We start from the raw sequence: 16531 nt of genomic DNA on the forward strand, positions 1-16531 counted from the left end.
GGGAGGCTGAGGCAGGAGAATCACTTGAACCCAGGAGGCAGAGGTTGCAGTGAGCCAAGATCGTGCCATTCCACTCCAGCCTGGGCGACAACAGCGAGACTCCATCTCAAAAAAAAAAAAAAAAAGTAAACATTTGTGATACTATTGTTCCATTTTTAAAATAACTTTTATTTGGCATTTACTTTGAGTTAATGTCTCCTTCTTTTAATGTTTTCTATTATTAAATGTCTGCATAAGGTAGAGATCATTTTTACATGTCCTTGAAATACATCACTGAGTCATGGTATATTAAAACAAAATAATAAAATAAATTAAAACCATGCACTTTAATGCATAATAAAAACCATGCACTAAACAGAAAACCTCTGACATTTTTAGTGTATCCCTGTCACAGAAAAATGTTCACTATTTGTTTTTATGGTCAGTTCTTATCTTTTCAAAACACATAAGCTGTTAGGAAAAATACAGAATAGTGTGTCATTTTTAGGAATTCTTGGAATTCCCTGGAATTCTGATTTCTCATACTCAAATCCCAAAGATTGGTGTCTTTTAGGCATTTTTTTTTTCTTTTCAGATAGGATTTCACTGTGTTGTCCAAGCTGGAGTGCAGTGGCTCAATCACAGGTCATGGCAGCCTCGACCTCCTGGGGTTCAGGTGATCCTCCCATCTCAGCCTCCCGAGTAGCTGGGGCTACAGGTGCGTACCACCCCGCCTGGCTAATTTTTGTGGGTTTTATAGAGACAGGATTTCACCAGGCTGGTCTGAAACTCCTGGGCTCAAGCAGTCCTCCTGCCTCAGCCTCCCAAAGTGCTGGGATTACAGGCATGAGCCACCGCACTTGGCTGTATTTTTTGGGGGGGCGGGTATGGTTTTGTTTACATATGGCTTTGCTTTGCCTGTTTTTTATTTGTCTTGATGTGTCTTTAAATATTGTTTTATCTTTGGTTCCCTTTCCATCTTTTTTACTCTTGTAATTCATTCGTTAGTGAAACCAGATAAAAAATCAGACCAGATTTCTTGGGGAAATACCTAGGAGTAGAATTGCTAGTTCCTAAGGCAGATAAATGTTTAACTTACTAAGAATCTGTTCAACAGTTTTCTGAGTGGTGTACTTACTTACACTTCCACCAGCAATGCAGAAAAGTTCCAATCGCTCCAAGTCTTCACCAATATTTAGTATTGTTAATCTTTTTTTTTAAGAAAAATTTTAGCCATTCTAGTGGCATGAAATGCTATTTCATTGTGGTTTTAATTTAAATGTAATTTGAAGTTTCCTAATAACTAATGATGTTGAACACCTTTTCATGTGCTTACTGGCTGTTTGCGTATCTTCTTTTGTGAAATGTTTTCCATATCTTATTTAAATTCTCTATTACTGTGTAACACACCACCACAAAAATTAGTGATGTGAGACAAAACCATTTATTTGCCCATTCTTCTACGATCTGACTTGGCCATATCTGGGCAGGTCTTTTGCTCCACGTGATATTGACTATGATCATCTGGAGGGTCCGTGGTTCCAGTGACTTAGCATCAAAGACGGCCTAACACACACGTCTGGTGCCTCTGCTGGGATGGCTGAAGCAGCCGGAGGCTGGCCAGGTATCTCTCTCCTCATGGTCCCCCATCAAGGTAGCCTGGTCACTTTACACAGTGGTGCAGGGTTCCAAAATAGAGCATTCAAAGAGGACAATACCCAATGTGCAAGGGTTTGTCTTCTTGCATCATGCTCCACAGGCCAAGATAAATCACATGTCCGAGCCCAAGGGCAAGGTGGGAAGGGACCATACAAAAGCATGGATACTGGGAGGCATAGGTCATTGCGGACCGCCCACGTAAGCCTACCACAATCTTTTGTCCATTTTCAAATGCATTGTCTTTTCCAAATTGCTTTAGCTCTTTTTTATTTATTTATTTTTTTTTTTGAGACAAAGTTTCTGTCTTGTTGCCTAGGCTAGAGTGCAATGGCTCAATCTCAACTCACTGCAACCTCTGCCTCCGGGGTTCAAGCGATTCTCTTGCCTTGGCCTCCCGAGCAGCTGGGATTACAGAAGCCCGCCTCCACGGGCGGCTAATTTTTGTATTTTTTAGTAGAGACAGGGTTTCACCGCATTGGCCAGGATGGTCTTGAACTCCTGACCTCAGGTGATCCACCCACCTCAGCCTCCCAAAGTGTTGAGATTACAGGCGTGAGCTACCGCACCCAGCCTTCCTTAGCTCTTTATACTCTGAATACAAGTCCTTTGTTAGACACAAGTGTTGTGGAAATATTTTTTCCAAACCCATGTCTTGCCTATTTGTTTTCTTAAACGTGTCTCTTGAGAGAAGAAATGTTTAATTTTGATGAAGTCCAATATGTGTATTTTCCTCTTCTATGGATAGTGCTTTTTGTGTTCTAAGGAACTTTTGCCAACCCCGAGGTTATAAAGATGTTCTGTCAGAAAGATATTCTATCTATTTTCTCCTAGACTTCATGGTTCTATTTTTTTTATTTGGGTTTATCATCCATGGCAAATTAATTTTTATTTATAGAAAAGGACAGGGATGGAGATTCATTTTTTTCCGTATGGATACCCAGCGGTTTCAGCACCATATATTAAAAGTCTTTTCTTCCTCCATTGAATTAACTTCGCATCTTGGTTAAAAAAAAAAAATTGACTCTATGTTTACTATTGTAAATAGTATTTTTATTTCATTTTCCAATTGATTGTGACTAATACAACAAAAATTGATTTTCACCTATTAATTTTATAGCCTGTGACCTTGATAACTTCACTTTTAATTTTGGTAGGATTTTGGAGAGGGGCGGTGAGGTGGAGAGGGTAGATCCCATAGGGTTCACCATGTACGCAATCATGTGGTATGGAACAATGACAGTTTTACTCCTTCCACCCCCCTCCCCCACTCTTTATGCCTTTTCTTGCTTTTTTTTGCTTTATGGAACTGGCTGGAACTTTCTAGTACAATGCTGAATAGAAGCGGTAAGAGCAAAATATTTGCCGTAGGGAATCTTAACAAAAACATATTCAATGTTTCTGCATTAAGTATGATGTGAGCTGTAGATTCTTTTATAAATGCCTTTTATCAAGAAGTTATCTTCTATTCCTAGATGACTAAGGTTTTGTATGTGTGTTTGAGTGTGTGTGTGTGTGTGTGTGTTGTCTGGTTTTTTTTTTTTGAAATAAAGAATGGGTGTTAATTTTTGTAAAATTTTTTTCTGGATTTGCTTGAGGTTATTTTGTGATTTTTATAGTTCTCTTTGTTAACATAGTGAATCACAATAATTGATTTGTGAATGTTAAATCAATCTTATATTTCTGGGATAAACCTCATTTTGTCATTAGGTTTTATCTTTTTTATATGTTGCTAAATCAATTTGCTAATATTTTGTTAAGATTTTCTGTGACTATGTTAATTGGTCTGTGGTTTTTTGGTAATGTCTTTATCTGATTTCGGTATTAAATTTATGCTCGCCTTACAAAATATGTTGGGAAGTCTTTCTTCTTTCATTTCCTGAAATAGTTTGTGTAAGACTGTTGTTATTTTTCCCTTAAATGTTAGCTAGTATTTACCAGTAAAGCCATTTGAGTTGAACTGGACTAATCTTTGTTAGAACTTTTTTTTTTTTACTTCAAATTCAGGATTTTTTGTTGTTGTTGATACAGGGCTATTTAGATTTCCTATTTCTTTCTGCATTAGTTTTACTAAATTGTTTATTTCAAGGAATTTGGTCATTTTATCTAGGTTGTTGAATCTGTTGACATAAAGTAGTTCATAATGTTTCTTCTCTTTTCTTTCTTTCTTTTTTTTTTTTTTTTTGTAGACAGAGTCTCGCTCTGTTGCCCAAGCTGGATCATGCAGTAGCATGATCTCAACTCACTGCAACCTCCACCTCCTGGGTTCAAGCGAGTCTCCTGCCTCAGCCTCCCAAGTAGCTGGGATTACAGGCATGCGCTACCACACCCGGCTAATTTTTGTATTTTTAGTAGCGACAGGGTTTCACCATGTTGGCCAGGCTGGTCTCAAACTCCTGGCCTCAAGTGATCCATCCACCTCAGCCTCCCAAAGTGATGGGATTACAGGCATGAGCTACCATGCCCAGCCATAATATTTCTTTATTATCCTTTTTATGTGCAGGATCTGAAGTGATGTTCTCTTGCACATCCCGATATTGGTGATATTTGTTTTCTCTCTCTTCATTCTTGTTAGAGGTGTATTTATTTTATTAATCTTTTTAAAGAACCACCTTTAGACTTTTTATTATTCTCTACTGTTTGTTTTCTATTTTTATTACTTCCTTTTTACTACCTACTCTGGGTTTAATTTGTTCTTTGTTTTAGCCTTTTCATTAATTTTTAAAATATTTATTCTTTCCTAGTATAATGTAAACCTAAACAATTCCCTACAAGCTCTGTTTTAGCTGTATTCATACATTTTAATACATTTTGTCTTATTCAATTCAATACATTTTCTAATTTCTCTTCTGACTTCATTGACTTGTGGAATATTTAGCAGTATGTTCCTTAATTTCCAAGCATTTAGTGATTTTTCAGTATCTCTCTTTTATTGTTTTCTGGTCTGTATGATTTCAATCCTTTGGAATTTGTTGAAACTTGCTTTATGGCCCAGCATAGGGTCAATTTTTGTAAATCATTCATATGAACTTGAAAATTATGTGTATTCTCCATATATATTCTATATGTGTCAATTGAGTTAAGTTGGCTAACCACTTTATTCAAATAATCCATTTCCTCACGGATTTTTTGTTTGAGTTTCTTTTAAAAAGTGTGTTAAACCAGCCTGGCCAACATGGTGAAACTCCGTCTCTATTAAAAATACAACAATTAGCTGGGCGTGGTGGTGGGCACCTGTAATCCCAGCTACTTGGGAGGCTGAGGCAGGAGAATCATTTGAACCCGGGAAACGGAGGTTGCAGTGAGCCAAGATCACACCACTGCCACTGCACTCCAGCCTGGGCGACAGGGCGAGACTCTGTCTCAAAAAAAAAATTTTGTTAAAATCTCCAGTGGTGGCTGCATATTTGTCTATTTTTCCTTTCAGTCTCAATAATTCTTACTTTGTATATTTTTAAGCTGTGTTATTTGGTGCACACAAGTTTAGAATTGTTATATTTTCCTGCTGGAAAAATCTGTTATCATTATTTAATGTCCATCTTACCTCTAGTAATACTGTTTGTCTTAAGCCTATTTTATTTGATATTAATGTAGTAATACCAACTTATTAAAAATTAGTATTTAAATGGTATATACTTTTTCATCTTTTTGTTTCACCTTTCTGTGTTTTTACATTAAAATTGTGTTGCTTAAAAATAAAATGTAATTGGGGTTTTAAACAAAAATCCATTCTAACAATATGTGTCTTTCTGTTTGTTTACATCATGTACATTTAATGTAATTACTGATATAGTTGGATTTAGAGCTACCATCTTTCTATTTGTTTTTCTGTCTTATTTGCTCTTTGTTCATTTATTCCTTCATTATTTTCTTCTTTTGGATAATCAAGTTGTTTTCACTATTTCAGTTTTTCCTCTATTAGGTTCTATTCATACGTTTTTACAAAAAGTTTTAACTTTAGATATTTAAATATGCATCTTTGACCTATTACAGATATATTGTCATATTAAATTAATGTTTCCCATGGTTTTAACAGTGCAAGAACTGGCCGGGTGTGGTGCCTCACACCTGTAATCCCAGCACTTTGGACTTTGGGAGGCTGAGGCAGGCATATCACTTGAGGTCAGGAGTTTGAGACCAGCCTGGCCCACAGGGTGAAACCCCGCCTCTACTAAAAATATGAAAATTAGCCGGAGGATGTGCTCATTTGAATCAAGGAGGAGGCAGTTGCAGTGAGCTGAGATCGTGCCACTGCACTCCAGCCTGGCTGACAATAAGACTGTGTCTCAAAAAAAAAAAGAAAGAAAGAAAAAGAAAACAATGCAAGAACTTTACAACTGTTCAACTCCATTTACCTGCCTTCCACCCTATGTGCTATTATTGTGTATTTTACTACCTGTTATAAGCCCTACAAGGCGTTCCTATTATTATTTTATTAGTTAATTATTTCATTTTTGTCCATATATTTGTCCTTTTTGGTGCCCTGTATTACTTCCAGAAGATTTGTGCTTAAAAAAAAGAAATTACTCCCCTCTTTTCTGACAATTTTTTTTTTTAAGTGACCAGGCTCTTGCTATGTTGTTTAGACTGGTCTTGAGTTCCTGGCCTCAAGCGATCCTCCGACCTCAGCCCTACAAGTAGCTGGGATTACAGGCGTGCGCCACCACGCCAGGCTTTGTAAAGTTTGTGCTTTCATCTGAGATCATTTTACTTCAGCATGAAGAAATTTCCTTTAATATTTCTTGTAACATTATTAAGGTTTGTTAGCAATGCACTTTCTCAGCCTTTTCTTTGTATATAAATGTCTTTGTTTTACCTTAATCCTTTTTTTTTTTTTTTTTTTTTTTTTTGAGATGGAGTCTCGCCCTGTTGCCCAGGCTGCTCTGCCTCCCGGGTTCACGCCATTCTCCTGCCTCAGCCTCCCGAGTAGCTGGGACTACAGGCACCCGCCACCACACCTGGCTATTTTTTTCTTTCTTTTTTTTTTTTTTTTTTTTTTTTTTGTATTTTTAGTACAGATGCGGTTTCACTGTGTTAGCCAGGATGGTCTCCGTCTCCTGACCTTGTGATCCGCCCGCCTCGGCCTCCCAAAGTGCTGGGATTACAGGCGTGAGCCACCGCACACGGCCTGTTTTACCTTAAATCTTACGCATTTTTTTTTCAGTATAGAATTCTAGGTTAGCAGGGTTTTTGTTTTTTTCTTTTTTCTGAACTTAAAAAATTACCTTTTGGATTCTATAGTGTCTGTTGAAATGTAGGCATCACGTAGCTTATCTAGCTGCTTTTAAGGTTTTCTCTTTGTCTTCGTTTCCAGCTGTTAACAATGATATGCTTGTGTGCTTTTCTTTTTTTTTTTTTTTTTTTTTTTTTTTTTTTTTTTTGAGACGGAGTCTCGCTCTGTCGCCCAGGCCGGACTGCGGACTGAAGTGGCGCAATCTCGGCTCACTGCAAGCTCCGCTTCCCGGGTTCACGCCATTCTCCTGCCTCAGCCTCCCGAGTAGCTGGGACTACAGGCGCCCGCCACCGCGCCCAGCTAATTTTTTGTATTTTTAGTAGAGACGGGGTTTCACCTTGTTAGCCAGGATGGTCTCGATCTCCTGACCTCATGATCCACCCGCCTCGGCCTCCCAAAGTGCTGGGATTACAGGCGTGAGCCACCGCGCCCGGCCGCTTGTGTGCTTTTCTTTGTTTTTATCCTACCTGGATTTACTAAGCTTCTTAAATTTAAGGGTTGATATATTTCAACAGTTTTGGGAAATTATCAGCCATATTACTTCAAATATTGCTTCTTCCTCAGTTTTTTCTTGCCTTCTGGAAGTACAGTTACACAAATGTTAGATCTACTAACTATGTCCCACAAATCTTACGCTCTGTTCCTTCTTCTATTTTTTTTTCTGTGTTTCTGGCTTGGATATTTTTTGTTGACCTGTCTTCGTTTGCTAACCCTGTCCTTTGTCCTTCTGCTAAACACATTCAATAAATTCTTAATTTCAGATGTTGTATTTTTCAGTCCTAGAACATTTTATTTTTGAAAGATATCCCACTTCCTCTGCTGACAATCTCTATTTTTATCTACTTTGCCAATCTTTTCATCTATTTTATTTAACATATTAATTGGTTATCTTACATTTTTTTGTCTGCTAACTCCAGTATGTGGGGCACTGTGGTTCCGATACTACTATCTATTTTTTCTCTTAACAGTCACATTTTTCTGTAGGTCTAGAAATTTCCAACACATGATATGGTTAAAACTGTAAATTATCCCAATATGGTGAGTGTGTAGTGATATCTTTTTGTGGTCTTAATTTGTACTCTGATTACTAGTGATGTTAAGCATCTTTTCATATGTTTATTCATAATTTGGTTTTCCTTTTTGTTAAATGCCTGTTCAAGTATTTTGTTCAACATTTGATTTGGTTATCTTTTTTCTCATTGATTTTCAGTTGTATATAAGTCGATATATCTTCCTGATGACTTGATCCATTTATTATTATTACTATTATTACAGTTTCTGGAAACAGGGTCTCACTCTGTTGTCCTGGCTGGAGTGTAGTAATGCGATCCATGGCTCACTGCAGCCTCCACTTCCTGGGCTCCAGTGATCCTCCTACTTCAGCCTCCCGAGTAGCTGGGGCTACAGGCATGCACCACCATGCCCAGTTAATTTTTGTATTTTTTGTAGAGATGCGATTTAGCCATGTTGCCCAGGCTGGTCTCGAACTCTTGGGCTCAAGGGATCTGCTCACCTTTGCCTCCCAAAGTGCTAGGATTCCAGGCATGAGCCACTGTGCTCAGCCCCATTTATTATTATACAGTGATCTTCTCTATTCCTAATAGTACTTCTCGCCTTAAAGTCCATTTTGTCTGATATTAATTTTTGTTGTTGTTGTTGTTGTTGTTTTTAGTAGATCTCACCCAAAAAAAAACTTCTGCTTTCTTCGACTAATTTGGAAATTACACTGTCTGTTTTACTCATTATCCAGTAACCTAGAAGTTATAATCTGAACATTTAACTTGTTCAAGTCTAGAGTTAATTGATACATTTACTCCAAGACAATGTAAAGAACTTACAACAGTTTAATTCCATTTTAACCACTATTATTAACGTTTTATACAATCGAGTTTCATTTAGATTTGCCATGTATTTGCCATTTGAATTCTCTTCATTCTTTCTAGCATTTTTGACCTTCAATTTGAGCTTTTTTTTCTTTCTACTCCAAGTCCATTGGTGACATACACTTACAGCTTTTGTTTGTCTGAAAATGTCTTTATTTCATATTCATTCTTAAAGGATGTTTTCACTGGGTATAGAATTCTTGGCCTGCAATTATTTTCTTTTTGCACATTGAAGATGATCTTTCTGCTATCCTCTGTCTTTTAATGTTGCTCTTGAGAAGTTAGCTCTCAGCTTACCTTGCTCTGTTGAAGATAATCTGACATTTTTTCCTGGCAGTTTTTAAGATATTCTCTTTGTCTTTGGTATTCTGCTATTTCACCACATATGTCTAGGTGCAAATTCTTTTTGAATTAATAGACTTCATTTTTTTTTAGAGCAGTTTTAGGTTCACAGCAAAATCAAGTAGAGAGTAGAGTTGGCCAGATGCAGTGGTCCATGCCTGTAATCCCAGCCAAGGCAGGAGGATCGCTTAATCCCAGAATTCGAGACCAGCCTAGGCAACATGGCAAACCCCATCTCTACAAAAAAATACAAAAATTAGTAGCCAGACCTGGTGGTGCACGTCTGTAGTCCCAGCTACTAGGAAGGCTATTAGAAGGATCATTTGAGCCTAGGAGGTCGAGGCTGCAGTGAGCTGTGATTGCACCATTGCACTCCATCCTGGGCGATGGAGTGAGACCCTGTCTCAAAATTAAAAAAAAGAAAAAAGAAAAAGAAAAAAAACCAAAGTACAGAGAGTTTCCACATGCCCCTCCCTCGTTTTCCACACACAGCCCCCCTTAACATCAACATCCTCCATGGGTGTTGTACATTTGTTACAATCAATAAACCAACATTATCGTTATCGACCAAAGTCCATAGTTTACATTAGGGTTCACTCTTTGTATTGTAAATTCTATGGGTTTTGACAAACTTATAATGAAATGTATATACTATTACAGCATCATACAAAATAGTTTCACTGTTCTAAAAATTTCCTGTTCTAATCTATTCATCCTCTCTCACCCCAAACCCCTGGCAGCCACTGATCTTTTTACTGTCTCCATGGCCTTGTCTTTTCCAGAATGTTACATAGTTGGAATCATACACTATGTAAGCTTTTCTAGGTGTAAATTAATTTTTTTTTTTTAGAGGAATCTCGCTCTGTCGCCAGGCTGGGGTGCAATGGTGCGATCTCAGCTCACTGCAACCTCCGCCTCCCGGGTTCAAGCGATTCTCCTGCCTCAGCCTCCCAAGTAGCTGGGTCTACAGGCATGCACCACCAAGCCTGGCTAATTTTTGTATTTTTACTAGAGACGGGTTTCACCATGTTGGCCAGGCTGGTTTTGATCTCCTGACCTCGTGATCTGCCCGCCTTGGCCTCCCAAAGTGCTGGGATTACAGGCGTGAGCCACCACACTCAGCAAATTAAAAAAAAATTTTATCTGGCCAGGCAAAGTGGCTCATGCCTGTAATCCCAGCACTTTGGAAGGCCAAGGCAGGTGGATAACCTGAGGTCAGGAGTTCAAGACCAGCCTGGCCAACATGGTGAAACCCCTTCTCTACAAAAATACAAAAATTAGCCGGGCATGATGGCGGATACCTGTAATCCCAGCTACTTGGGAGGCTGAGGCGGGAGAATCGCTTGAACCCAGGAGGTGGAGGTTGTAGTGAGTCGAGATCACGCCACTACACTCCAGCCTGGGCAACAGAGCGAGACTCCGTCTCAAAAAAAAATTTTTTTTTATCCCACTTGGGATTTGTTGGGCTTTTTGAATCTGTAGATTAATGGCTTTGATCAGTTCTGGGAGATTTTCAGCCACTGACGTTTCCAATATCACGTTTTCATTAGTCTCTCTCTTCTCTCCTGAAGTTCCAGTTACAAGAGTGTTAGATCCATTTCTCATTTATTCTTCGTGTCTTTTACTATTTCTTGCTATTATTTTTAATCTTTATGTCTCTCCATGCTCATTTTGGATTATTTCTTCTGACCTTTCTTCCAATTCACCAATTATCTTTTTTGCTATGTCCAAAATGCTTTAAATTTGCTATTGATTTTTAAATTTTAGTTAATTGTATTATTCATTTCTAGAAGTTCAGTTTGTCCCTTCAAACCTACTGTCACTTTTCATCCTGTTCCAGGCAAATATTTTCAAGCTACTCTATTGTTTATTTAAATATGGTTGTTCTATATTCTATGTAAAATAATTCCAGTGTTTAAATTCTTTATAGATATGTTTCTATTGTCTCTCATTTCTTCTGGTTCTTGCTGTGTGGTCTCATTTCCTTATGTGCCTGATTATCTTTTTTTTTTTTTTTTTTTTTTTGAGATGGAGTCTCACTCTGTCACCAAGCTGTAGTGCAGTGGCGCGATCTCAGCTCACTGCAACCTCCGCCTCCTGGGTTCAAGCAATTCTTCTGCCTCAGCCTCCTGAGTAGCTGGAACTACAGGTGCCCGCCACCATGCCCGCCTAATTTTTAGTAGAGACAGAGTTTCATCATATTGGCCAGGCTGGTCTCAAACTCCTGACCTCAGGTGATCCACCCACCTCGGCCTCCCAAAGTGCTGGGATTACAGGTGTGAGCCACCGCGCCCGGCCCTGATTATCTTTTACTGTGTGCTGGCCGTCGTACTTAAATATTTCTTTGTGTGACTCATTTGGAGCCTTGACTGAAGGACCTCCCTCCAGAGAAGGTTTTCATTTGCTTCTTCCAGAAACCTTTGGAAGAAACAAATAGTCTAGGGTCACCTCAATCTAAGTTCAAGGCTTGAGGTTACCGACCACCCAGGAGATACAAATTAGAGCTGCAAGTCTGTTACTGGAAAGGAGTCCCAATCCAGACCCCAAGAGAGGGTTTTTAGATCTTGTGCAAGAAAGAATTTGGGGCGAGTCCATAGAGTAAAGTGAAAGCAAGTTTATCAGGAAAGTAAAGGAATGAAAGAATGGCTACTCCACAGGTAGACCAGCAGCACCATGGGCCTCTGGTTGTCCATTTTTATGGTTATTTCTTGATTATACACTAAACAAGGGGTAGATTATTTATGAATTTCCAGGGAAAGGTGTGAGCAATCCCCGGAGCTGAGGGTTCCTCCCCTTTTCAGACCCTATAGGGTAACTTCCAGATGTTGCCATGGCATTTGTCAGCTGTCATGGTGCTGGTGGGAGTGTCTTCTAGCCTCCTCCTCACCTTACAGCCAGTAAGAAATAGAACCAGGCTAATGTATTATAATTATCATATAGTGAGCAGTGAGGATGACCAGAGGTCATTCTCATTGCCATGTTGGTTTTGGTGGGTTTTGGCCGGCTTTTTTACTGCAACCTGTTTTACCAGGAAGGGCTTTATGACCAGTGTGTTGTGCTGACCTCCTGTCTCATCCTGTGACCAAGAATGCCTAACCTCCTAGGAATGCAGCCCAGTAGGTCTCAGCCTTATCTTACCCAGCCCCTATTCAAGATGCAGCTGCTCTTCCTCTGATTCAAACGCCTCTGACAAGTCCATACTGGGGCTGGTTTACTTCTGAGAGTATGGCTCTTTGGGATCCCAACTAATTTGGGGGAAGGTCTTCTATTTGATCTTCCACCATGTGCTCTGGACTTTTATTTGTGTACATTGCCTAGAGGAGTTATCAAAACAACAGTTCAAACTAGCCCAAATCAGGAAGTGCCCTCAGAGTAAATGTGAGTTTCCCGTATGGTTTATCTGTCTACGTTTCTGTTTTCCCTTTAGCTTTGTTCTAGTGATGCCTTACCCTATGGCTGCACCAATATGTCAGTGTTTTTAGTTGTTTTCTTTTTTTCTTTTTTTTGAGACAAGTCTTGCTCTGGTGCCCAGGCTGGAGTGCAGTGGCCTGATCTCTGCTCACTGCAACCTCCGCCTCCCAGATTCAAGCGATTCTTGTGCCTTGGCCTCCCGAGTAGCTGGGATTACAGGCATGCACCACCATGCCCAGCTAATTTTTGTATTTTTAGTAGAGACGGGGTTTCCTCATGTTGGACGGGCTGGTCTTGAACTCCTGACCTCAGGTGATCTGCCCACCTTGGTCTCCCAAAGTGCTGGGATTACAGGCGTGAGCCACCGTGCCCGGCCTTTAGCTGTTTTCAATAGGAGAATTGATCTGAGGAACTTGGCGTGGCATTCCCAGAAAAGAGAAGCCGGCCAGATGGCAGACTCCATTTGAAAGAGATGGAAACTGTGGCTTAGAGAGGTGAGGCCACTTGCCTAGGGCCTTACAGCCAGTAAGAAATAGAGCCAGGCTGCAAGCTGAGGGCCGTTTTACACCAAATTCAGTGTTCTTGTCCCCACTCCCTGGCAGCACCCTCTTGATTTCTTTATATGTAATGAGGAAGTCAGAGAGTCTCTGAGGGCCCTTTGGACTCAGATGTTCTCCAACCAGGATTTCACGGCTTTTCAAATCTCTAAGACTCACTGAGCCTCCTCCTCACCTTCAGTCTGGGATTTAGAGAGAATTCCTAGATCAGCCATGAGGGGGCAGTGGTGTGCAGAGAGTGCCCAGATTCTAAAATGATGACACAGCCAAGGGCTTCTTTCTTTGTGGAGGTCTTTGCTTCTCACTGTCAGAGTAAAAAGAAAATGATGCAGCCTAGTATTCTAAGTCCCCTGTCCCTTCTGCTTCATTTGTCCAAGTCTGGTCGATGCCGCCTCTGGCACAGAGGATGGGACACAGAGATAAGTCATGTTGTGTCTCTACCATCAAGGACCCATGGTCCACTAAACCCTCTCCAGGCTAGGTTTCTGGCTGATTTTCCACCTCCTTGTCTTTGCTCTTGCTGTTCTCTGCACTGAAGTGCCTCCCCTTTCTCATCGCTGCCATTACATTTCCCCTCATTCTTAAGGTTCAGTTCAGACGCCACCTCCTCTCTGGAGCCTCCCATCCACCCCCATCAGCACCCCGCTCCCTCCCCTGCGCTCCCAGCCCAGGTTCTGAATCTCTCTCATGGCTTGAATTCAGGTCTGGCCATGTGCTTGTATCACCCTCCAGACTGGAAGCTCCTCAGGCAGCTAGGATCCCCATCAACCCTGGACCCTGTGCCAGCCCAGAAGATCAAGAGTGCTGGAGAAAGGGAAGCTGGAAGAAGATCTGCTGGCTGGGATTCCTGGCAGGGCTGAAGGAGATCAGAGCCTGCACTGAACAGACTCCACCGCGGCAGCTCCTTTCTCTACTCTGGACTCCAATCCTTTTGGGATCCTGCTTTGCACTCACTGATGAGAAAATGACAAGGGACACCTCCAGCTCCAAGAAACTATGGATTTTAAAAAATGAAAGTATAAAAGCCCCAGAAGAAAACACAGGAGAATGGCCAGCCGTGGTGGCTCACGCCTATAATCCCAGCACTTTGGGAGGCTGAGGTGGATGGATCACTTGAGATCAGGAGTTTGAGACCAGACTGGCCAACATGGTGAAGCCCTGTTTCTGCTAAAAATACAAAAATTAGCTGGGCTTGGTGGCGTGCCCCTGTAATCCCAGCTACTCTGGAGGCTGAGGCAGGAGAATTGCTTGAACCTGGGAGGCAGAGGTTGCAATGAGCTGAGAAATGCAAATCAAAACCACAAGGAGATACCATCTCATGCCAGTTAGAATGGCAATCATTAAAAAGTCTGGAAATAACAAATGCTGGTGAGGATGTGGAGAAATAGGAACACGTTTACACTGTTGGTGGGAGTGTAAATTAGCTCAACCATTGTGGAAGACAGTGTGGCGACTCCTCGAGGATCTAGAACTAGAAATACCATTTGACCCAGCAATCCCATTACTGGGTATATACCCAAAGGATTATAAATCATTCTACTATAAAGACACATGCATACATTTGTTTATTGCAGCACTACTTACGATAGCAAAGACTTGGAAGCAACCCAAAAGCCCATCAATGATACACTGGATAAAGAAAATGTGGCACATATGCAACTTGGAATACTATGCAGCCATAAAAAAGAATGAGTTCATGTCCTTTGCAGGGACCTGGATGAAGCTGAAAACCATCATCCTCAGCAAACTAACACAGGAACAGAAAACCAAACACTGCATGTTCTCACTCATAAGTGGGAGCTAAACAATGAGAACACATGGACACAGGGAGGGGAACATCACACACCGGGGCCTGTTGGGGGCATGGGGAAAGAGGAGGAAGAGCATTAGGACAAATACCTAATGCATGTGGAGCTTAAAACCTAGATGACGGGTTGATAGGTGCAGCAAACCACCATGGCCCATGTATACCTATGTAACAAACCTGCACGTTCAGCACATGTATCCAAGGACTTAAAGTAAAATTTTAAAAAAAGCAAAAAGAAAACAGAGAATTTCTGATTAACTTTAGAGCTAGAAAGACCTTTCTATGCCTCAAAACCAGAAGCCATAAAGAAAAAAGTATATAAATGGCTCTTATGCTTTTGAGGAAATGCTCAGCCTTATTCATAAGGCGATAATTACAATTTTAAAATACAATTGAGATTCCATTTTTCTCCTATCAGACTGGCAGAAATCCAAAGGTTTGATAACATTCTCTAAGCAGCACCATGGAAAAGCAGGTACATGTACTGTTGCTGGAGGAGGAGAGTTCCCTCTGCATAATCCCCACGGAGGACAACATGGCAACATCTACCCAAATTACAAAACACCGGTGTTGGGCAGAATTCTGAGGTGACCCTCACTGGCCTTCACTCTTCTGTGGTCCCCTGCCCTTGTATGAGTGTAGGGCCTGTGAATAAGATGAGCATGTGAACCAAATGATTGTATTCCATTATATGACAAAAGGGATTTTGCAGATTAACTGAGGTTCCAAGTCAGTTAACCTAATGTTAGGGAGATCACCCTTGTTGGACGGATCTGACTGGGTGAGCCCTTGGAAAATGGCAAGCTTTCTCTGGCAAGAGAAATTCATCAGAGATTTGAAGCATGAGAAAGATCTGTTCGGCCATTCCTGGCTTGATGTTGGAGGGAGCTGCATGGTGAGGACTGTGGGTGTCCTCCGGGAGCCCAGGGAGGCCCCTCCTGGAAGCCTGCAAGAAACCAGAGACTCAGTTCTACAACCACAAGGATCCAGATTCTGCCAACAACAAGAATGGCCTTGGAAGTAGATTTTCCCCCCAGAGCTTCCAAAAAAGAACCAAGCCTGGCCGCCACCTTGGTTTCACCCTGAACTCAGCACCCAGTTCAGGTGAGACTGTGAGCTAAACAATGGGTGTTTTTTTAAACTGCTGAGTTTATGATAATCTGGTATGCAGCAATAGATAACTCATACAGTACTTTCAACCTGCCAGGCATGGTGGCACATGCCTGTGATCCCAGCACTTTGGGATGCTGAGGTGGGAGGATTGCTTGAGCCCAGGAGTTCAAGACCAGCCTGGGCAATGTGATGAAACTCTGTTACACTGAGAATATTAACCAGCCGTGGTGCCACATGCCTGTAGTCCCAGCTACTTGGGAAGCTGAGGTGGGAAGATCGCTTGAGCCCAGGAGGCTGAGGCTGCAGTGCATCGTGATCATGCCACTGCACTTTAGCCTGGGCAACAGATCAAGACCCTGTCTCAAAAAAAAAAAGATACTCTTAAATCAGGAATTCATTTTTGGGAATTTATCCTGCAGGTATACCTGCACACATGTGAAACAGTGCATATGCACAATTACTTATTGCAGCACTGTTTGTGATAAGAAAAAAAATAGAAAAAACAAACAAACCAGAAACAAATGTCCACCAATAGGGAACTGGTAATTTG

The 16531-nt window shown here is 40.9% G+C and overlaps 1 long non-coding RNA gene across 1 annotated transcript, besides 1 other annotated feature; it reads left to right on the forward strand.

The window, feature by feature from the left end:
- The first annotated feature begins 574 nt into the window (after positions 1–574).
- LOC124903917 (uncharacterized) lies at positions 575–15972 on the forward strand. Its single transcript, XR_007065609.1, has 3 exons — positions 575–697; positions 1470–1603; positions 13764–15972. It is a non-coding gene; the product is annotated as an uncharacterized LOC124903917 (long non-coding RNA).
- Positions 12048–12342: a silencer, noted in NCBI's record as "tiled region #14090; HepG2 Repressive non-DNase unmatched - State 3:PromF". NCBI's record gives its function as "represses a minimal TATA promoter and a strong SV40 promoter by Sharpr-MPRA in HepG2 cells {active_cell/tissue: HepG2}" and the evidence as "EXISTENCE:reporter gene assay evidence [ECO:0000049][PMID:27701403]".
- Positions 15973–16531: the final 559 nt, after the last annotated feature.

Source organism: Homo sapiens, chromosome 1 (genome assembly GCF_000001405.40).
Source record: "Homo sapiens chromosome 1, GRCh38.p14 Primary Assembly".
Lineage (NCBI taxonomy): Eukaryota > Metazoa > Chordata > Mammalia > Primates > Hominidae > Homo > Homo sapiens.